The sequence below is a fragment of the Homo sapiens genome, chromosome X, assembly GCF_000001405.40.
Source record: "Homo sapiens chromosome X, GRCh38.p14 Primary Assembly".
In the NCBI taxonomy this organism is placed as follows: Eukaryota; Metazoa; Chordata; class Mammalia; order Primates; family Hominidae; genus Homo; species Homo sapiens.
In genome coordinates, this window is record NC_000023.11 from 147,265,205 (window position 1) to 147,289,010 (window position 23,806).

Sequence of the window (23,806 nt, forward strand, 5' to 3'; positions counted from 1 at the left end):
TGCTACAGTAAATCATCTAAAATGTCTAGCTTTCAATAACATTTCTAAGACATGAAAAGAAAAGGAAAATGTATCCTATACACAGGAGAAAAACAGACACTAGAATCCAAAGTATTCCTGTGATGAGGTCCAAATATCACAGTCATGGATAAATACGTTAAAGCAAGTATAAATATTTACAAAGATATAAACCATTATTTGAGAAATAAAGGAAGTTATTGTGACAATCTCTCATCAGACACATATATCAAAAAAGAGGTAGAAAATGTTTTAAATAGAATATTCTGGAGTTTAAAAGCACAACATCTGAAATGAAAAAAATCAACAGAGAGGTTCAACAGTAGATTTGAACTAGCAGAGGAAAGACTAGAAAACAGATTGATAATGATTATTCTTTACAGAGAATATACAGTAAAATGAATGAGTGTAAAAAGCAGAGCCTTAGATAAAAGTGGAACAGGAGAAGAAACAATAAAATATGTATTGGGAGTAACAGAAGGAGAGAGAAAAGGAAAAAGAGCAGTAAAAAATCTTTAAAATAATGGTTAAAAATTTCCCAAATGTAATAAAAAACAATAACCTACACATTAAAGACATGCAACAAATTCAAAGTAGAATAAACATAAGGAGGTCCAAATGGACAGATATTATATTTAATCTGTCGGTGATGATAAAAGGAATTTTGAAAGCTATAACAGAAAAACAGTTCATTGCGTAAAATAAATCCTCACTAAGATTAACACTGAACATTTCATCAGAAACCATGGAGGCCAGAAGACAGTGAGATGACATATTCAAAGTGCTGAAAAAATAATATGTCAACCAAGATTCTTATATCTAAGACTAAAAGCTCTTAGATTAGACATTAAAAGCACAATTCAGAAAGGAAAAAGAATGACCAATTACAATATATCAAAATAAATGTAATAACCTTTGTTCTGTGTAGCACAATGCTAATAGAGTGAAAAACAAAGACACCCTGTGAAAATATATGCGATTGACATTTCTGTAAAATGACTGAAAGTATGAATACAATAAAAACTCTTAAACTCAATAATAGTAAATCAAACAACTCAATAAAAATGGAAAAAGTATCCACATCTCCACGGACAGTTTGCCAGAGAAGATATGTGAATGGCAAGTAAGTGTATGAGGCAATTTCCAACATTTTCAGACAATGAGGAGATGCAAACTAAAACCATGACTGTGTGTACTAAAACAGCTAATAAAAAATAAGCCACAAAACTGCTGATACCAAGTGCTGGTAGGGATTTGGTTAACTGGAACTCTGCCACATTGTTCATGGCAGCATAAAATATTAAAGCCATTCTGGAAAACAGTTCTTATGAATGTCTTTTTTTTTCCTTTCTTTTGTATTTAGTTGTCTTTAAAACTAGTAGATAAAATGGTATGTACTTACCATGTACAACATGATGTTTTGAAGAATATATACATAGTGCAATAGTTAAATCTAGCTAATTAACAGATGTGTTACCTCACATAGTTATCTTTTTGGAGTGAGAACACTAAACATTTACCATCTTTGGATTTTTCAAGAATACAATATGTCATTATTAATTATAGTCACCATGCTGTGCAATAGATCTCTTGAACTTATTACTACTATCTATCTCTAATTATGTATTATTTGACCAATATTTCCTTATCTTCACCCTGAACACCTCAGCCTCTGGTAATCCCCATTCTACTCTCTATTTCTATGAGATCAACATTTTTAGATTCCACATATGAGTGAGATCATGAAATACTGATGAAAGAAATTGGAAAAGACACAAATAAATGGAAAGACATCCCATGTTCATGAATTTTAAGAAATACATTGTTTTTGCATGTGGTGGCTCATGCCTGTAGTCCCAGCACTTTGGGAGGCTGAGGTGGGTGAATTACTTGCACTCACAAGTATGAGACCAGCCTGGGCAACAAAGTGAGACCCCATCACATCACTACAAAAAACATTAACACAAAAATTAGCTGCATGTAGTGGCGTGCACCTGTAGTCCCAGCAACTCATGAGGCTGAAGTGGGAGCATGGCTTGAGCCTGGGAGGCAGAAGTGGCAGTAAGCTGAGATTGCCCCACTGCACTACAGCTTGGGCAACAGAACCAGACTCTGTCTCAATAAATATGTATTTAACATTTCCATGCTTCCCAAAAACAATTTACAGGTTCCATGCAATCCTTATCAAAATGCCAATGACATTCTTCATATAAATCCAAAAACAGGTGGATCACACTTTTGTAATCCTAGCACTTTGGGAGGCAGAGGCCTGAGGATTGCTTGAGCCCAAAAGTTTGAGACCAGCCTGGGCAACATCAGGAGACTTCTGCTTTACCAAAAAAAAAAAAAAAAAAAAAAAAAAAATCAGAAAATTAGCCAGGCATGGTGGCTCATGCCTGTAGTCCCAGCTACTTGTGAGGCTGAGGTGGGAGGATCACTTGAGTCCAGGAGGTCAAGGCTTCAGTGAACTATGATTGCACCACTGCATTCCATCCTGGATGACAGAGTGAGACCCTGCCTCACTCTAAAACAAAAGGAAATAGAAAAAATGATCTAAAATTCATATGGAAATACAAATGACCTCAGATAGCCAGAGTAAACTTTAGCAAAAAGAATGAAGCTGGAGGCACAGCACTACCTCATTACAAAATATATTACAAAGCAATAGGAATTAAAATAGCATGGTACTGGAATAAAAACAGAAGTATAGACTAGTAAAACAGACTAGAGAGACCAGAAATAAATCCACATATCTATACCCAACTGATTTCTAACAAAGGTGTCAAGAAGACACAATGGGTTAAAGACAGACTCTTCAATAGTAGTAGGAAAACTGAATACCTACATGCAGAGGAATGAAATTGGACCCTTATTTCATGCCATATACAAAAATCAACTCAAAATGGATTAAAGGCTTAAAGGTAAGACCCCAAACTATGAAACTACTAGAAGAAAGCATAGAGGGAAAGCTCCATTACATTGTTTTGAGCAAAAACATATTTAGATATCACCTCAAAAGCATGGGCAGCAAAAGCAGAAATAGACAAATGAGATTACATCAAAATAAAAAAAGTTTCTGCACAGCAAAGGAAACAATCAACTGGGCAAAAACACAACTGAAGAATGAGAAAACTATTTTCCTAAAGAATGAATACCTTCTAGGTCAGTGAATAAAAGAAAGGCCTTCAATAAATGAGAGTAAAACATTTGAAATTCATTATGGTAAGAGATTTAGGAGGGTATTTGAGAAGGCCTAATGAAAAAGCCTTGAAAATGGTGAGAGGAGCTAATATGTGAGAACGTTTTATCACATTTGGAGTCTGGGGTAAGGTAAGTGTGGGAGATCAGTCAGAGTGGTGGGAGATCAGTCAGAGTTGTGGGAGAAGGTATAGGGAAAGGAGCAGGCCTTCTGAAAGATCAGAAGGCTCTGTATAGCTTCAGGAATGAATAAGCTGAAGGCAGCTGTTCTCTTACCCTGAGGCAGAGGGCAAGGAGTTGGTACAAGGAAGTGTAGGGGAATTTGGCATAAACAGGCTGGTTTACTTATGTTGTCTGGAACCGACCTTTGATCATCAGGGCAGGAGACTGCTCCCTGAAACTGGGAACAATGTTAATTACCCACAGACTGTGTTGGCTCCAGGCTTTCATTATTTTGTCTGTACTGAATAAAAGCAAGCAGCTCCAACTGTTCGAGACTGCTCACTCTTCAGCCATTAGGGCAGTCCCTGGCTGCTCTTAGACTGCATACCTGTGTCTGAGTACTCCTTTCATCCGTCGCTTGGCCAGGGTCTGCAGGATGGACCCGGCAGCTGGTGCCCTGTGTGAGGAACGCTGCAACGGACTGCGACAGAACCCTCGAAAACGAAGGTGAAGAGACTGTGCAGTCAGTAAGTCATTGGTGCCCCCTCGGGATTTCCAAGTTCGAGGGAATTTTCAAGCTAGGGTTTCATCATGGGACAACAGTTATCAGCTCAACAGTATATAAAAGTATTGAAACTGCTGCTTAAAGCTAGCAGAGCCTTGGTTTCACAGGCTCAGTTAAGGGACCTAATGCAAACTGCTGCTTCCCATAACCCATGGTTCCTGGAAGAAGGCACACTAGATGTAGAGCTCTGGGAACAAGTTGGGGGAAATCATAAACAACATCATGCACAAGGGCAACGGGTCCCAGTAACATCTTTAACATTATGGGCCTTAGTCAGGGCTGCTTTGGCCCCTCTCTGCACAGAAGAGCCTAAAAAGGGAAGGGAGGAGGAGGAACCATCACCTACCTTACCGCCTCCTCCTCCTCCCTCAGCCCCACTATTACCAGGTAAAGCTGCCAGAGAGGAGACACAGATTTTCCCTGAGCACCCCCCGCCCCCACCCCAATAAATTGCAAAAAAGACAAAGGATACACTACAGTCCTAGGCAAGTGGCATTAGAAGGGGAACTCTTGGCCTGCCCGGTGATGCAAGATCAACAAGGCAACTGGGTACGTGAATCCATTAGTTTCAACACTTATAAAGAAATAACAAAAAAGCATTAGAGAAAACAGAGCCGCTAGCCCATTTACACGAGGATTAATCGAGGCCATAGCAAACAACTTCCATATGGCCCCTTTCTAATAATGGCCACTGTTGTTATTCTTCCCCGACCCCTGACATGGCTCTTTCAAGATCCTATTTGGGTTGAACAGTGGCCTTTAAAGGGAGAGAAATCACAAACAGCCCATGAATTAGTTGAAGAACAATTAAAAGCCAGCCATATAGAACCGTCAAACGGCCCTTGGAATCACTCATTTTCATCATTCCCAAAAGGTCTGCTAGATGGAAACTTTTGCATGACTTACCTGCCATCAATGCTAATTTGCAACCTATGGGGCCCCTTCAACAGGGGATCCCTTCCCCCATGGTGATTCCTCAAGGTTGGCCCATATTGACTCAAAAGACTGTTTTATTGACTTTAAAGACTGCTTTTACACTATTCCCCTTGCAAAACAGGACAGAGAAAAATTTGCATTTACAATACCAGCTATCATTAATGAAAGGCCAGCTCAGAGGCATGTCCCCTCCATCAACACGTGTTAACCCTAGAGGACTAGAACCTAATCAGTTATGGCAAACAGACGTTACGCACATCCCTGAATTTGGAAAACTAAAATATGTACATATATCCATTGATACCAATTCCCACCTAATTAGCACTCATGCTCTTCCCGGAGAGTTTGCCCAGTATGTCATTAAACATATTCTCTTAAGTTTTGCGTTTATGGGGCGGCCCACAAAAATTAAAACTACTAATGGTCCAGCTTACACCAGCTCACAATTTCACCAATTTTGTCACACATGGATGTCCAATATGTGACATCCACAGGCATCCCGTACAAATCCCAAGGACAAGTCATAGTAGAACATGCCCATTCCACCCTTAAAAATATGCTCAGAAAACAAGGGGGAATATGAGTAAGGATGCTGCAACACTACTAGCATAAGCCTTATTTACCCTTAATTTTTTTAATTTAGATAAATTTCAATCAGCCATAGAAAAGCATTTTGCAAAAGCCCCTCAAGACATAAAACCCATGGTTTTATGGAAAGAAGTTAATAGTAATCTATGGTGTGGTCCAAATGATTTGCTGACCTGGGGAAGAGAATATGCTTGTGTTCACACGCCCTCAGGTCCTCTTTGTATTCCAGTGTGACAGACACATCAAACCATACCATGGCGTGGCTAAGACCCAAGCTGGTATCAAAAATAAAGGAAACGACGCTGCAGGACCCGCAGCCCCAGACGATGTGGCTTCCTCCGATGACACAGGCCCCAGACATTACCTGGGGGAAGCTGAAGAAGACAACTCAGGAGGCCGAGTGAATCCTTCTCTGGACACAGACACCATCACTCCAGATAATCTGTTCCTTGCTATGCTCTCTATTGTACCTTGCAACTCTCATAGGGTATTCACCTTTCTTATTCTCTCACTTTGCCTGCAACTCATACCTGCTACATTCTATTGGGCCCATCTTCTAAGATCTGCCTTTCTTCCAACCTGTTACCTTGGCAGACACCCCCTTCCCATCCTCTAATAATGTAACTGCTTAGCTGGGAGGGGTTGACATGCCCCCAGTGGGGTTCCTTAATAATGGCACACATTGAACTGAGGTGCCAAGTAACACTACATATCTCTCCTTGATTGGAAAAGAATAATAGTGACTATACTAATGTTTGACTTATGTTATTTACTAATTCTAGGATGCAAAGCCGGAACACGAGCTGTAACCGCTGCGCCTGTCAAATCTGTCACTGCACACATCTGTACTATTCAATCAACAAAACCCGATGCTAAAAACAGAAAAGGGGGAGACGCGGGAGATCGGTCAGAGTGGTAGGAGAAGGTATAGGGAAAGGAACAGACCTTCTGAAAGGCGGGAAGGCTCTGGATAGCTTCAGGGATGAATAAGCTGAAGGCAGCTGTTCTCTTACCCTGAGGCAGAGGGCAAGGGGTAGGTAAGGAAGTATAGGGGAATTTGGCATAAACAGGCTTGTTTACTTACATTGTCCGGAAACCGACTTTGATCATCAGGGCAGGAGACTGCTCCCTGAAAGGGGGAATAATAATGTTAATTACCCACAGATTGTGTTGGCTCCAGGCTTTCATTATTTTGTCTGTACTGAATAAAAGCAAGCAGCTCCAGCTGTTCGAGACTGCTCACTCTTCAGCCATTAGTGCTGGGCATTCCTGTAGCTGCTCTTACACTGCATGCCTGTGGCTGAGTACTCCTTTCATCCGTTGCTTGGCCAGGGTCTGTGGGATGGACCCCGCAGGTAAGGGTTATCAAAAAAAAAAAAAATTCACAGGCAGATAGGAACACCATGACCATACTAAAAGGCTTTTTTCCCATTTTAGTCTTGCAAGTTTGTAAAGAAGGATATGAAGCCCCTAAGAAATCAGTGAAACACTTTTTCCCAAAACCTTTATTTCCTATGTCTTGTCTTCAGAAGTTTATCTAGAAACTCCCCAGCTAGTTTAGTATTGAGGAGGGTACCAGATGGACTATCTATGTGCTAAGAAAAGCATACCACTGCATGCAACTAAATATCTGCAATATCATTGCATATGTAGTACATGTCATGTGTTACTCCACTCTTAGAGGTTTCAATCACACCTAATTACATGTGATTGCCACTCTCCTGAGTAGGACACCACACACATACACAGCATTCCTGAAAATGGGAGCACAGCCTAAATACTTAATCACACACTTTTCAAACAACCTCTCAAATGTTTTCAGTCTGTAAGTGGCCGTTGGCATTTATGTAAATGATTCCTGAAGAACCTACATCATTTTTTATTCACTCATTCCCCCTTGAGTGTTGTCCACTCATGGTTTGGAGTTTTCACATGGCAGTTTTCAGGACTAAGAACCTTCCTGCTAGGCTCTCCTGCTAACGGGAAAAATCTCATTCGATGCCTTATTCTATTTCTTTTCCCATTGTTTTATATAAAGTATTAATGAGTAGATTGCATTCCCCAGATTCAGTAGCTACCCAGACACTACACTCTATCTCACCAATCTGTGCCTATCATCCAAAGATCTGAGTTCTTCTACCTGAGTTCCTTACTACAACTCCTCACTACAGAATAAGCAAGGACATCACACAGGATCCTGGAAGCAAAGAAGAGAGAATAATCAGTGAGTGGTAAGATGGAGAGAGTAGAATTTCTTTTATCCTCATCAAATTTTGAAGTGAAAAAAAAAATCCCATTTTACTTACCAGGAGTGATCTACAAAACAGAAATTGTGCTAGGCACCCAGACACTCTTAGAGATTTTTCAGTTTCTGGGTTTTCTTCGTCTTTTCTGGGAGCAAGGTTCTTTTTAGCATGTGTTTGCATTTTTCCAATCTGAGACACATGCTACTAGGTGACTGTGTTTCCCTGCAAAACTAAAATTAGCACACACAAAAATATGGACACAATTTTGGTGACTGGATTTCAGAGACTGAGAACTGAGAATTTAAAGTGACTGTGGCTTACAAAATTACCTGTTCCCCTATCTCCTAATCAAGAGCAACAATATACTTGTGGGTTTAAGAAGCCTCCAGAATTTCTCATCCACTCCACAAACCCAGTTTAGTGTTTCAGAGGCTAAATACTAGGCATGTGAGGTTAGAGGTCAGGGGCCTGCTACTATAGCCATTCTTCATCACAGGGTTTAGGCTCTATACCAGGTGCAGCCGGCGGAGATAATTGAGTACGTAATACTCCTCATCTCAGCTTAATCATCAGGGGGAGCTTCCACTTTGGGTGAGGCAAACCAGAACACTAGAATCCACTGCTATCACTCATCACCCTGGTTGTAAAGCAGGGGTGTCAGTGTACAAGAAGCAGGACACTGCCTTATTCTCAGCTTGGGGCAACTGCTCAGGGATTTGTCCATTGAGAGAGGCTAGCCCTAAGAGAAAAAGCATTAAAGCTTTCCTTCTCAAAAGAAAATGACTTCAGTTGTAACAGAAGACAAGAAAGGTCTCACAAATAATGTAGACTGTGGTGCCAAGTAATTAGGATGGAACTGGAATCAGGAAACAGACAGCTAATAAGAGCCTTTCTGGTAGGAGAATAGCCTTTAGAGACCTGCCCCAAAAATTATCTGCAAAGTATTTGGATAAGACTCTAAAGCAATTTTTGCCCATGGTATTCTCAAAAGCTACAAAATAATCCACCTGCAAACACTGAAGCTTATTACCTGTGTGTGATACCGCAGAGGCAGGCAGCTTAACAGAAAGAGCAGCAAAAGAACAAAGAACTCTACTAAAATCACGACAGTTTAGAGTGACTGTGTACATATCCAAAGTTATACCTTGCAAGGAACAACATTAGGTTTTCACAATAAAAAGAATATAGATTTTACTAAAACAGCACAGCCAAGTAAATCAACAAATAAAAAAATCAGACAACAACAATCCCCAGAAGCAAGATCTGCATCCAAAACTTCTATAATATATTAATAAAATATCCAGTTCTCAACTGGACATTCTCAGACATACAGAGAAAATAAAAATATAACACACAGGACAAAAGTAGATTACAGAAAATGCTGGCAACAGAGCCTAATGTTATACTTAACAACAACCTTAAAGCATCCACTGTAAGTATTTTCAAAACACTAAACAAATGGTGCTTGGAAGAGTAAAGGCAGCTATGTTGACAATGCCTCATCAAAAGAGTCTATCAATAAAGAGGTAGAAATATTTAAAGAAAAGGAATTTATGGAGTATAAAAGTAAAATAATTGAAGTGAAAAATTCACTAGAAGGACTCAGGAGAAAAAAGAATCAGTGAACTTTAAGATACCTTGAAAGTGATAATTCTATAAAAATAAAAGAATAAAATGAGTGAAGAAAATGAACAGTGCCTCAGAGAAAGGCAGAACACCAGCATGCACATCAAAATACGCATATTAAGGTAGCAGAAGTGAAAGATAGAAAGGAGCAAAAAAGTATTTTTTAAAAATGGCTGTGAATATCTAAATTTGATGAAAAACATTTTTTATTATACCTAAGAAGTGCAAAACACTACAGGTAGCATAAACAAAAGAAATCCAAGCTGAGAGACATATCTACTTTTTGGTGACAAAAAAAGAGAATATTGAAATCTACTAGAAAAAATAAACTTAATGCATACAAGGGATCCTCTACAATATATTTCGCTGACTTTTCATTAGAAACCATAGAGGCCGGAAGACACTGGAATAACATTTATAGTGCTAAAAGGAAAACAGTCAACCAAGAATCACGTACCTAAATTTAGACACTCTAAGATATGGCATTAAAATGTAAACCATAAAATAACAAATGGTGAATCATCCTTTATGAAAATACAAAAAAAAAAAAGTTTGCTCTGTACAACACATGGTTAAGGGAATGCAAAAGTAAACCACAGACTAAGAAAAAATATTTGAAAATCACATATCTGGGCCGGGGACGGTGGCTCATGCCTGTAATCCCAGCACGTTGGGAAGCCAAGGCAGGCGGATCATGAGGTCAGGAGATTGAGACCATCCTGGCCAACATGGTGAAACCCTGTCTCTACTAAAAATACAAAAAATTAGCTGGGCATGGTGGCACACGCCTGTAATCCCAGCTAGTCAGGAGGCTGAGGCAGGAGACTCACTTGAACCAGGGAGTCAGAGGCTGCAGTGAGCCGAGATCGTGCCACTGCACTCCAGCCTGGTGACAGAGTGAGACTCCGTCTCAAAAAAAAACAGAAAAAAAGAAAGAAAGAAAAAAAATCACATATCTGACAAATAAATTGAATTCAGAATGCATAAAAACTCTCCCAACTCAATAAATATGGGGAAAATACCTTAACAGACAATTCAACAAAGCAGATATATGAATGGCAAATAAGTATATGAAGAGATGCTTAACATTTCGTCAACAAAGAGATGCAAGCTGAAACTATATTGACAAAACACACGTATTAGAATAGCCTATAAAAATAAAAACACTCAAAAACCATGCTCATACCAAGTGCAGATAAGTATTTGGGTAAGTGGATCACTGATACATTGTTCATGACAGTACAACATAGTAATTAATGCCATTCTTGAAGAGTTTTTTTCTATTTCTCTTAAATTTAACTTAGAGTTAACATACTTAACATAAATCCCACTTTGAGCTATTAACACAAAATAAAACTTGTGTTTGCACATATATCTGTATGCAAACATATACCCTAGCATTATTCATAATCACTAACAATTGGAAACAACCCAGATGTCCTTCACTTATGACTAATATTCTATTCAGTAATAAAAATAAGCAGGCTATTGATTCTCTTCCTGACTCCTCCCTCTGTTTTTCTGTCTTTCTCTATGCCCTTCTCCCTCTATGTATGTCTCTCTGTCTCTGTTTGACTCCATCTCTCTCTCACCTCACTGCATTAGGAAGGGACACCAAAAGGAAAATATAACTACATCCCTTTTTTTAAAAAAAAGTGACAAAATCAAAGAGTATAAATTTCTCAGTGTGATACACAAACTGTAATAAATTGGTAATTTTCATTATATTCAAGCATGCTTTCAAAAGAATGAGCATTTTCCAGGTCCCTGAAAAAGCCCAATAAAAGACACTGGGCTTCAAGCAGATTAGGACCTGGGAAGCAGGAAGGAATTTGGGAAGAACCATGGAGAAGCTTTGAAGATAATGAGGGCAACTGAAAAGTGAGAATGGGTTAACAGACCTGGATGTAGGGGCAGGAAATAGGTTGTGCAAAATTAATCATACTCTTTATGAAGAGAAGAATCACATAACCACACTGAAAGACTGTTCCTATTTTAGTCAGGCAATTTTGGAAAAATGTGTACAAATCCCAGGGGGGGAAATAAAAACAAACAAAAAAAAACAAGCAAAACAACAACAACAACAAACCTCAACAGGAGAATTTTTTCTCAGTTTCTTGTAGTCCTCAGACTTGCCTCAGAGAATTCACTTAATTGGTTTATCTAAAGTAGACCAGCAAGAGGGACAGAGAGGTATACGGGGTGGCATATATGTACTCTAGGGAAACCATCTCTCTGCATGCAACTAAATACCTCTAAATTCACCCACAGTGTCATCACATATGTTGTACATGATGTGTGTTACTCCACTTGTAGAGGTGTCAATCATATTTAATTATGCATGATTATCACTGTCTGGAGCAAGGTACCATACACAGCATTTCACTATCAGTATTGAAAATATTTGCTCTGTAAATAAAGACAAACTTGAGAGAATTCAAACAAGAAATTAGAGACTGGGAGAAAATATATACAAATCACATTTCTGCCAAAGGATTTGTAATCAGAATACACAATAAACAAAAAATTCCACAATAAGAAATCAAAAAATCCAATAAAATAAAATAAAAAATCTCAATAGACACTTAATCATAGAAGACTGTGGATGGCCAATAAGCACATGAAAAATTGATCAACATCATTAGTCAATTAAAAAAATGCAAGTAGCATTAGGAGATATACCTAATGTTAAATGGTGAGTTAATGGGTGCAGCACACCAACATGGCACATGTATACATATGTAACAAACCTGCATGTTGTGCACATGTACCCTAAAACTTAAAGTATAATTAAAAAATGCAAGTTTGAACAACAATATAATAAGTCAATAAGCCATAGAGAATGGTTATGAATATTTGTCAATACCAAGTTTTGGTGATGATTTGGGCAACTGTAACTATGATGCATTGTTCACAGAAACACAATATGTAAAGCCATTCTGGAAAATAGTCTTCTTAGGTTTCTTAAAAAAATCAATTTAAACAAACTTTTCATAGACCTAGCAATCCCACTCTAGCTATTTATAAATGTGAAATGAAACTTGTCTTCTCACATACGTCTGTATGCAAACTTTACAGTAGCTTTATGCATAATCACCAACAACTGGAAACAACTCATTTCATTCACATTTGACTGTAATACTACTTAGCAATTACAACAGAATATTAGTTCCTACAGAAACATGGATGAATTTTGAATGCATTTTAAGTGAAAGGAACCAGACCAAAGACCAACATAGCATGAGACTGCAATTATGCAGTCTGGAAAAAGACAGACTATAAAGGTGGAAAACAGAGCAGTGGTTACCAGATGTTAGGCTGGGCTGGGGATTTACTACCCAAAAGGCAGAATGAGGTAATTTTGGGGGCAATGTAACTTTTCTCTATCATGATCATAGTAATAGATACAGAACTACAAGTATTTTTTTAAAACCCATAGAACACCCCACCACCATTGAAGAGTCTTATTTTTTTTAAATGCTTATTTCTCACAATCAGTGTCCCAAGAACAGAATTCTCTCTCTGACACACTCTGGAATTCAGGGAGAGCATCAGGGCATGGGACATTTTATGTCCTAGATGTTTTAAAGATCAGAGAAATCAACAGCAACTAAATGAAAAAACACATTTTAAAAATTTCACCAAAAGCCATACATAAAACATCCAAAAACCTTGTGTCCCCAATAACACATAGCAAAAAATAAATCAGAAGACAATAAATGAAAGAAAACAACACAAAATCTGATCACAATTAATGAACTGTGATCAGAAGATATTTGCGGTGTGGCCATGATAAGAAATAAAAGAGACATTTCTCCTGTCTTGGTAAGTAAATGTTCACAAAGGATTGAAGTATGGTGATACATATGCCTTATTGATGCAGACAAAATATCACAAAGAGCCATTTCCAACTCAACTCCCTGATCAGAATTAAAGGAAAAACACACCAGCTTATTTTCTTTTGTCCAACACAAAGAAGTAAGATTTGTGTCTTGCTCCTTAGACACTTTTCCAGTCCAGCTGACAGCACCCAAGCCTATGGTACTTAGCATCCCCAACTCTCTCTGTAGAAAACCAAAAGATATCGAACTTTTTGTGAAGAAACAAATAAAATTATATCAAACAGCAAAATTATTTGGGTACTACGCATAAGCCCTAATAAACTGATGACTTGTAGAGGATTCAAAGATATTTTCAAAAGAACTACCATCTGTTGGGCCCACGAAGAAAGCAGATTCAACATCAGAAAGTCAAAAAACTGAGCTTCAGCAGAGTAGATAACTTAAAAGTGGGAGGCCATTTGGAGAGGGCTAAAGGAGAAGACTTTAAAATCATGAGGGGAACTGTTATGGGAGAACAGGTTAAAGGATTTGAGGGATAACATAGGCAAAAGCTTTTACAAAAAGAAAAAGAAAAAGAAAAAGAAAAACAAAAACAAAAATCTACCACAAAGGCAACGAGGCACACTGTCATCACACTGAAAGTCTTTTTCTCATTTCCATCAAGCAACTTGGGAAAAGGAATATGACTCACAGAAGAACCATGGGAGTTCCTAGGACTTGCCTCTGAAAGGCACTTAAGAGGCTTCCCTTGAGGGAGGCCAGCACTAGGGGTTTGAAGAGGTATTATACGTGCATTTTAGAGAAAGCTTCCCTCTGTGTACAATAAAACACCCTCAATGCACCCACAGTGCCATTGTCTGTCGTACGTGTCATGCGTTACTCTACTCACAGAAGTGTCAATCAAATTTAATTATACATGATTGTCACTCTCCAGAGTAGGGTACCACAGACAACATGTTTAAGGATGGAAGCCCTCCCTAAGCACCCATTTGTGCACTTTTGAAACAACTTCTCAATGCTTTCAGGCTGTGAGTAGACACTGACAGTTGTCCAAATAACCTATGCAATACCCACTCGTCTTTCTTCATTCATCCCTCGAGTGCTATCCCCTCATGTGTCATGGGTTTTACATGGCAGTTTTCAGAACTTTTTGTCTAGGTTCTCTTGCTCATGAAAGAAATATTCTTGCATGCTTTTATCGCAATGAATCAGCAGTATGCAGTCCTCAGATCCAACAGTTAAGCAGAAAATGCTTAACTCCAGTCTTAAAAGATCTGAGGCCCTTTACCTAAGTTACTTACCTCTACTCTGGAACCACAAAGTAAGTGGTGAAAACACACAAGATCCTGAAAGCAAAAAGAAGGAAAATAATCTGTGATTGCTGTGGTGGAGATAATAGAAATTTATTTTCTTTCTTAGACCCTGGAGTAAAAAGAAGCCCATTTTACTTACTGGAAGTGATCTATAAGACAGATATGAGCTTGTGGTCTAGAGATGCCCTCATATAACTCGCAACTTAGAAATTTTCTTAGTCTATTCCTGGAGCAAGGTTGTTTAGAGCATGTTTTTGCATTTTGTTATCCAACACACATGCTATTTGGTGTCTGCATTTCCCTAGGACTACTGAACCTGGTACAACAAATTACAGAAGAACAAATATTTCTAGAGTCCAGGGACTGAAAGAAGTTTTAACTCCAGCACATCTTGTAGGCTTCTTAAAAATTGAATTTTTATTGTTATACAAATTTCATATTCATCTAAACTCACACAAGTGTGCACTAAAAAGCAGCTGTATTATGTATATGCATGTTAATTACATATATATGTAATTGCATCTATATTATGTATATGCATATGTATTTACATGTTAATTACACGTATATATGTAATTGGCATTAAGGGGTTAGAAGGAAATTCAAGTAAAAAGATTCACAGCCTTAAATTGGAGTTTCTTTTAGAACTTAGCAGCTACAGGCTGAAAGTATTTTTAAATATGGAAGTGGGAAAGTTTGAGAAACATCAACCCTAGTTTATAAGTTTTTATTGAAACAACAATGAATACTAAAGGAAATCATCTCAATGCCTGAACATCTTGAAATCTTCCTTCTTTAATATGAAAAATACGAAGCCTATATTTATAGCTGCAGGAAGCCCAGCATCTTTCCAAAAAGTACTAGTATTTCTAAGAAGATGTCAACTCTTCTCAGCATTATTAACCCCCATATTCCTCATCTTAGCTGAATGCCTTAAGGCCCACTGGCCACTTTTTGCCTCTATTTTCTCTGTGAAGCTTACCAAAAAGAAAGAAACACCACCTTCCCCTCCATTTCTCAAGGGAGAGAAAAAAGGTTATAGTAGAGGAAGCCCCAATCTCCTGTGGACACTGACAAGTTTTGTTATCAGAGAGCTTGACTGTAATCTGCCTGTCCAATTCACCCTTCTCTCTTCTCTTGCCACCATGTTGTCTTGTGCTGGGCCATTCTCTATTCCATCCAGTAAACATGCAGAAGCACATACATCAGTCATCATAGCCATGTGCTGGCTTTAGGCTGATAGAGGATAAGAATTTAGATTCATTCTTTCAGACATACCTGTGCACAGTCACAATCAGTTTAACAGGCAGCTGCAACATTTTAAGACAAGAAACTCATGTTCCAGTCTCTGATCCGTTTTCCTTGTGGTCAAGGATATTCAGTGCTGGCAAAAGAATACATTAAAATATCTTCAATTTCTTACTGGCACTTTTTGGAAACCTCCCAGGGAGAGAAAACCCCCTCCACCTAAAACATCATGGCAACAGTCACTGTCTTCTTTTTCTCTTCACCTCATATTCCACTGCCTTGGGATTATACTACACAGCTTGACAGAGTCTTTGTCTGTATGTTGTTCTTTCCTTTTCACCTCTAAAACCAAAGTGCCTCAACAGTCCCCTGAATTTGTGACATAAAATCCCTTGGAACAGGATGCAACTGTAGTGGGCTGCAGATGGGTATGGACATCAAAAAAGATAGACAGGAAAAACTGAGATTCCCTTTCACTGCCAGGGAAGAAGGACTGTCTTAGAAGCATTGAGAGATTAGAGATTGGTTCGACTCCTTAACTTAATACAAAACTTTGCTCCATAGTGCTTTCCTAGAGTAGTCTTCTCTGACCACCTCATTTGAAATTGCACACCTCTTCCTCTCTGCCATACTGCCCAAACCTCAATTCGTTTTATTGTTTCTCTATAGTACTTAAAGCTATAACACATAGTTAACATTCTATTCAGTTATTACTTCTTGTATATTTGTACCAATAGCATATCAGCTTTTTGAAGACAGAAAGTTTTGCCTCTCCCTTTACACTACTGTATTTGCAGCACTGATATACAGTATGATGTGCTTGATGATTTCCTGTTGAACAAATCAGTGGCCTCTGAAAGGCACTTAAGAGGCTTCCCTTGAGGGAGGCCAGCACTAGGGGTTTGAAGAGGTGTTATACCTGCACTTTAGAGAAAGCTTCCCTCTGTGTACAATAAAACACCCTCAATGCACCCACAGTGCCATTGTCTGTCGTAAGTGTCATGCGTTACTCTACTCACAGAAGTGTCAATCAAATTTAGTTATACATGATTGTCACTCTCCAGAGTAGGGTACCACAGACAACATGTTTAAGGATGGAAGCCCTCCCTAAGCACCCATTTGTGCACTTTTGAAACAACTTCTCAATGCTTTCAGGCTGTGAGTAGACGCTGACAGTTGTCCAAATAACCTATGCAATACCCACTCCGCTTGTCTTTCTTCATTCATCCCTCTTGAGTGCTATCCCCTCATGTGTCATGGGTTTTACATGGCAGTTTTCAGAACTTTTTGTCTAGGTTCTCTTGCTCATGAAAGAAATATTCTTGCATGCTTTTCTTGCAATGAATCAGCAGTATGCAGTCCTCAGATCCAACAGTTAAGCAGAAAATGCTTAACTCCAGTCTTAAAAGATCTGAGGCCCTTTACCTAAGTTACTTACCTCTACTCTGGAACCACAAAGTAAGTGGTGAAAACACACAAGATCCTGAAAGCAAAAAGAAGGAAAATAATCTGTGATTGCTGTGGTGGAGATAATAGAAATTTATTTTCTTTCTTAGACTCTGGAGTAAAAAGAAGCCCATTTTACTTACTGGAAGTGATCTATAAGACAGATATGAGCTTGTGGTCTAGAGATGCCCTCATATAACTCGCAACTTAGAAATTTTCTTAGTCTATTCCTGGAGCAAGGTTGTTTAGAGCATGTTTTTGCATTTTGTTATCCAACACACATGCTATTTGGTGTCTGCATTTCCCTAGGACTACTGAACCTGGTACAACAAATTACAGAAGAACAAATATTTCTAGAGTCCAGGGACTGAAAGAAGTTTTAACTCCAGCACATCTTGTAGGCTTCTTAAAAATTGAATTTTTATTGTTATACAAATTTCACATTCATCTAAACTCACACAAGTGTGCACTAAAAAGCAGCTGTATTATGTATATGCATGTTAATTACATATATATGTAATTGCATCTATATTATGTATATGCATATGTATTTACATGTTACTTACACGTATATATGTAATTGGCATTAAGGGGTTAGAAGGAAAGTCAAGTAAAAAGATTCACAGCCTTAAATTGGAGTTTGTTTTAGAACTTAGCAGCTACAGGCTGAAAGTATTTTTAAATATGGAAGTGGGAAAGTTTGAGAAACATCATCCCTAGTTTATAAGTTTTTATTGAAACAACAATGAATACTAAAGGAAATCATCTCAATGCCTGAACATCTTGAAATCTTCCTTCTTTTATTTGAAAAATACGAAGCCTATATTTATAGCTTCAGGAAGCCCAGCATCTTTCCAAAAAGTACTAGTATTTCTAAGAAGATGTCAACTCTTCTCAGCATTATTAACCCCCACATTCCTCATCTTAACTGAATGCCTTAAGGCCCACTGGCCACTTTTCGCCTCTATTTTCTCTGTGAAGCTTGCCAAAAGTGAAGAAACACCACCTTCCCCTCCATTTCTCAAGGGAGAGAAAATAGGTTATAGTAGAGGAAGCCCCAATCTCCTGTGGACACTGATAAGTTTTGTTATCGGAGAGCTTGACTGTAATCTGCCTGTCCAATTCACCCTTCTCTCTTCTCTTACCACCATGTTGTCTTGTGCTGGGCCATTCTCTATTCCATCCAGTAAACATGCAGAAGCACATACATCAGTCATCATAGCCATGTGCTGGCTTTAGGCTGATAGAGGATAAGAATTTAGATTCATTCTTTCAGACATACCTGTGCACAGCCACAATCAGTTTAACAGGCAGCTGCAACTTTTTAAGACAAGAAACTCATGTTTCAGTCTCTGATCCGTTTTCCTCGTGGTCAAGGATATTCAGTGCTGGCAAAAGAATACATTAAAATATCTTCAATTTCTTACTGGCATTTTTTGGAAACTTCCCAGGGAGAGAAAACCCCCTCCACCTAAAACATCATGGCAACACCCACTGTCTTCTTATTCTCTTCACCTCATATTCCACTGCCTTGGGATTATGCTACACAGCTTGACAGAGTCTTTGTCTGTATGTTGTTCTTTCCTTTTCACCTCTAAAACCAAAGTGCCTCAACAGTCCCCTGAATTTGTGACATAAAATCCCTTGGAACAGGATGCAACTGTAGTGGGCTGCAGATGGGTATGGACATCAAAAAAGATAGACAGGAAAAACTGAGATTCCCTTTCACTGCCAGGGAAGAAGGACTGTCTTAGAAGCATTGAGAGATTAGAGATTGGTTCGACTCCTTAACTTAATACAAAACTTTGCTCCATAGTGCTTTCCTAGAGTAGTCTTCTCTGACCACCTCATTTGAAATTGCACACCTCTTCCTCTCTGCCGTACTGCCCAAACCTCAATTCGTTTTATTGTTTCTCTATAGTACTTAAAGCTATAACACATAGTTAACATTCTATTCAGTTATTACTTCTTGTATATTTGTACCAATAGCATATCAGCTTTTTGAAGACAGAAAGTTTTGCCTCTCCCGTTACACTACTGTATTTGCAGCACTGATATACAGTATGATGTGCTTGATGATTTTCTGTTGAACAAATCAGTGGCCTCTGAAAGGCACTTAAGAGGCTTCCCTTGAGGGAGGCCAGCACTAGGGGTTTGAAGAGGTGTTATACCTGCACTTTAGAGAAAGCTTCCCTCTGTGTACAATAAAACACCCTCAATGCACCCACAGTGCCATTGTCTGTCGTAAGTGTCATGCGTTACTCTACTCACAGAAGTGTCAATCAAATTTAGTTATACATGATTGTCACTCTCCAGAGTAGGGTACCACAGACAACATGTTTAAGGATGGAAGCCCTCCCTAAGCACCCATTTGTGCACTTTTGAAACAACTTCTCAATGCTTTCAGGATGTGAGTAGACGCTGACAGTTGTCCAAATAACCTATGCAATACCCACTCCGCTTGTCTTTCTTCATTCATCCCTCTTGAGTGCTATCCCCTCATGTGTCATGGGTTTTACATGGCAGTTTTCAGAACTTTTTGTCTAGGTTCTCTTGCTCATGAAAGAAATATTCTTGCATGCTTTTCTCACAATGAATCAGCAGTATGCAGTCCTCAGATCCAACAGTTAAGCAGAAAATGCTTAACTCCAGTCTTAAAAGATCTGAGGCCCTTTACCTAAGTTTACTTACCTCTACTCTGGAACCACAAAGTAAGTGGTGAAAACACACAAGATCCTGAAAGCAAAAAGAAGGAAAATAATCTGTGATTGCTGTGGTGGAGATAATAGAAATTTATTTTCTTTCTTAGACTCTGGAGTAAAAAGAAGCCCATTTTACTTACTGGAAGTGATCTATAAGACAGATATGAGCTTGTGGTCTAGAGATGCCCTCATATAACTCGCAACTTAGAAATTTTCTTAGTCTATTCCTGGAGCAAGGTTGTTTAGAGCATGTTTTTGCATTTTGTTATCCAACACACATGCTATTTGGTGTCTGCATTTCCCTAGGACTACTGAACCTGGTACAACAAATTACAGAAGAACAAATATTTCTAGAGTCCAGGGACTGAAAGAAGTTTTAACTCCAGCACATCTTGTAGGCTTCTTAAAAATTGAATTTTTATTGTTATACAAATTTCATATTCATCTAAACTCACACAAGTGTGCACTAAAAAGCAGCTGTATTATGTATATGCATGTTAATTACATATATATGTAATTGCATCTATATTATGTATATGCATATGTATTTACATGTTAATTACACGTATATATGTAATTGGCATTAAGGGGTTAGAAGGAAATTCAAGTAAAAAGATTCACAGCCTTAAATTGGAGTTTGTTTTAGAACTTAGCAGCTACAGGCTGAAAGTATTTTTAAATATGGAAGTGGGAAAGTTTGAGAAACATCATCCCTAGTTTATAAATTTTTATTGAAACAACAATGAATACTAAAGGAAATCATCTCAATGCCTGAACATCTTGAAATCTTCCTTCTTTAATATGAAAAATACGAAGCCTATATTTATAGCTTCAGGAAGCCCAGCATCTTTCCAAAAAGTACTAGTATTTCTAAGAAGATGTCATCTCTTCTCAGCATTATTAACCCCCACATTCCTCATCTTAACTGAATGCCTTAAGGCCCACTGGCCACTTTTCGCCTCTATTTTCTCTGTGAAGCTTGCCAAAAGTGAAGAAACACCACCTTCCCCTCCATTTCTCAAGGGAGAGAAAATAGGTTATAGTAGAGGAAGCCCCAATCTCCTGTGGACACTGATAAGTTTTGTTATCGGAGAGCTTGACTGTAATCTGCCTGTCCAATTCACCCTTCTCTCTTCTCTTACCACCATGTTGTCTTGTGCTGGGCCATTCTCTATTCCATCCAGTAAACATGCAGAAGCACATACATCAGTCATCATAGCCATGTGCTGGCTTTAGGCTGATAGAGGATAAGAATTTAGATTCATTCTTTCAGACATACCTGTGCACAGCCACAATCAGTTTAACAGGCAGCTGCAACTTTTTAAGACAAGAAACTCATGTTTCAGTCTCTGATCCGTTTTCCTCGTGGTCAAGGATATTCAGTGCTGGCAAAAGAATACATTAAAATATCTTCAATTTCTTACTGGCATTTTTTGGAAACTTCCCAGGGAGAGAAAACCCCCTCCACCTAAAACATCATGGCAACACCCACTGTCTTCTTATTCTCTTCACCTCATATTCCACTGCCTTGGGATTATGCTACACAGCTTGACAGAGTCTTTGTCTGTATGTTGTTCTTTCCTTTTCACCTCTAAAACCAAAGTGCCTCAACAGTCCCCTGAATTTGTGACATAAAATCCCTTGGAACAGGATGCAACTGTAGTGGGCTGCAGATGGGTATGGACATCAAGAAAGATAGATAGGAAAAACTGAGATTCCCCTTCATTGCCAGGGAATAAGGAATGTCTTAGAAGCATTGAGAGATTAGAGATTGGTTCAACTCCTTAACTTAATACAAAACTTTGCTCCATAGTGCTTTCCTAGAGTAGTCTTCTCTGACCAGCTCATTTGAAATTGCACACCTCTTCCTCTCTGCCATACTGCCCAAACCTCAATTCGTTTCATTGTTTCTCTATAGTACTTAAAGCTATAACACATAGTTAACATTCTATTCAGTTATTACTTCTTGTATATTTGTACCAATAGCATATCAGCTTTTTGAAGACAGAAAGTTTTGCCTCTCCCGTTACACTACTGTATTTGCAGCAGTGATATACAGTATGATGTGCTTGATGGTTTTCTGCTGAACAAATCAGTGGATATTTCATCTACTCTCAGCTGTTAGTTTCATGTATAATCTGGAGTTTTCAGACGACCTGTCTAAAATCATGTTGAAATCCCAACAGAGTCCACCAGGGAACTCTGATGCTCCTGTGAAGCACATGGGATTCAACTTGCTGAGTATAGAAAGTGCTAACTTGACAGAGTCTCAATATTGTCTAAATTGGAGTTTCACTTTGCCAAATTTAAGAAAGGCCGTATCTCCAGTGCAAGTCTGCGACTCTTTGGCCACACCTTCTTAGACTAAAGTGTTATAGACCACTAAAGGCATTATTTGGGACAAATTTTCCTTAAGGACTTCAATCACTACAAAAGTTGTACTTGTTGAGCATTACTATACTCAGAAAAGTACAGTTTGTAACTCAGTATATATGAATGGTACTTTCCTAAGTTAGGATACTCCACACAGCATAACCAAGGTTGCTTCTCTGGCCAATCCAACCTACTTCTTGTTCCTACCCAATCCCCCCAATCCATGGCATGACATTCATCATTTTTTCATAAGACATGGCATTGCCCACTCTATTGCCCTCCCACTTTCACTTGTCCCTGAGTAAAAGTCCCCTCGCTTGCTCTTTGAATTCTTATACAATTTTCATGCCCAAGAAAGAATAAACCTCTTTCTGTTTTTTCTTCCTCATGTAATAAATATATTCTTCCTCTCTAACTTGTTGTTTTACAAATTATTAGGAAGGAAGCATTGAAAATATTTGCTTTACCACAAAGTAAACCAAACCCAACCAAAAGAAAACAAAACAGCAACAACAAAATATTTCCAACATAATCCCATACTCAGTACTCCAAAATTCATTCATTTCAAATCTACATGAAAGTAGTCAAAACACACTAAGACATTTAATAAGAAAAGATTAGTCAAAGGGTGCAAATACTGAGTGGGCATAAACCCCATTTCCTGTATCTATTGAAAGGAAATTAACTTTTAAATTTATGACTGTTCAATTCCGAGAGAGAGAGAGAGAGATGAGCTTAAATCCAAGAGTTGTCTTCTTTTTCTCCTCTCAGCCCTTGATCAGAAGTCTAGCTGTTGACAATATGTTTTTCCATTCTGCGACACTGGCCATCAACAGTTTAACTTTTCTGTGACCAGCTGAATCTGATAGAAGATGAAAGAGAGTGTGTGAAGGAGATAGAGGTTACAAATCAGTCATAGTCAAGCAGAATAGGAACAGGATTATGCAAAATTCTGCAGAGAGAGAATAAAAAGGATTTGGAAACACACGTCTTGGCTATGTTACTTGCCATGGAGAGAGAAAGAAAGGCTCAAGGTTGAAATGTTTAAACCAGACTTCCCTAAGTCATTTTTTCTTTCAATAGGCTAAAAAAAACAAGTAAAGTTCTCATCTCATAAAACTGTTAGAACTTTCACAAATTCAGTAAGTATGCCTGAGCCATCTGTGACCCAAGTATCTAATCTATAAGAAGTTTGCTATGGGCAAAATCTTCATACTTTTTTTTTTTTAATCTGACAGTCTTCTGACTGGTACTCATTTCTGCTTCAGCTGTATCCTGCAGCCAATTGTATGGAAGTGTAATGGGGCAGAGAGAAATCTCCTACCTGGAGAACAAAGAAAAAGACAGTTGTATCTCCTCATGTTTGCCTTTAGGAAGGAAAGTATGAACTCAGAAGGTTACTTGAAGTGGGCAGTTAAGAACTAAACTCAACTGTATCATAGACTTGGTTGCTTGGGGTCTTTTAAAGACATAGGATGAAAGACTAAAGTAATACATTGACGGGTTTCTAAGTCCCTGGACTAACTATTCTCCTTGTCTTTGT

The 23,806-nt window shown here is 38.4% G+C and overlaps 2 long non-coding RNA genes and 4 other non-coding genes across 11 annotated transcripts in view; 1 reads left to right on the forward strand and 5 right to left on the reverse strand.

Moving 5' to 3' along the window:
- LOC105373347 (periphilin-1) overlaps positions 1-6,691 on the forward strand; it is a 90,847-nt gene extending 84,156 nt beyond the window's left edge. For 3 of the 6 annotated variants that reach the window (XR_005647084.2, XR_005647083.2, XR_005647085.2), the window contains exons 3-4: positions 3,805-3,905; positions 5,679-6,691. This is a non-coding gene — a long non-coding RNA (periphilin-1). The remainder of the gene's footprint in view (positions 1-3,804; positions 3,906-5,678) is intronic. The other 3 variants (XR_938514.3, XR_005647086.2, XR_005647087.2) reach the window with 2 other exon arrangements.
- A 439-nt stretch (positions 6,692-7,130) lies between these two features.
- MIR510 (microRNA 510) lies at positions 7,131-7,204 on the reverse strand. The gene has a single exon (NR_030237.1). It is a non-coding gene; the product is annotated as a microRNA 510 (primary transcript).
- Positions 7,205-14,042: 6,838 nt separating this feature from the next.
- Positions 14,043-14,140, reverse strand: MIR514A1 (microRNA 514a-1). The gene has a single exon (NR_030238.1). It is a non-coding gene; the product is annotated as a microRNA 514a-1 (primary transcript).
- A 2,598-nt stretch (positions 14,141-16,738) lies between these two features.
- On the reverse strand, positions 16,739-16,826 carry MIR514A2 (microRNA 514a-2). The gene has a single exon (NR_030239.1). It is a non-coding gene; the product is annotated as a microRNA 514a-2 (primary transcript).
- A 354-nt stretch (positions 16,827-17,180) lies between these two features.
- On the reverse strand, positions 17,181-21,398 carry LOC101928863 (uncharacterized). The gene is made up of 4 exons (XR_001755997.2): positions 21,170-21,398; positions 19,880-19,924; positions 18,471-18,576; positions 17,181-17,225 (listed from the first exon to the last, which is right to left on the reverse strand). It is a non-coding gene; the product is annotated as an uncharacterized LOC101928863 (long non-coding RNA).
- MIR514A3 (microRNA 514a-3) lies at positions 19,437-19,524 on the reverse strand. The gene has a single exon (NR_030240.1). It is a non-coding gene; the product is annotated as a microRNA 514a-3 (primary transcript).
- Positions 21,399-23,806: the final 2,408 nt, after the last annotated feature.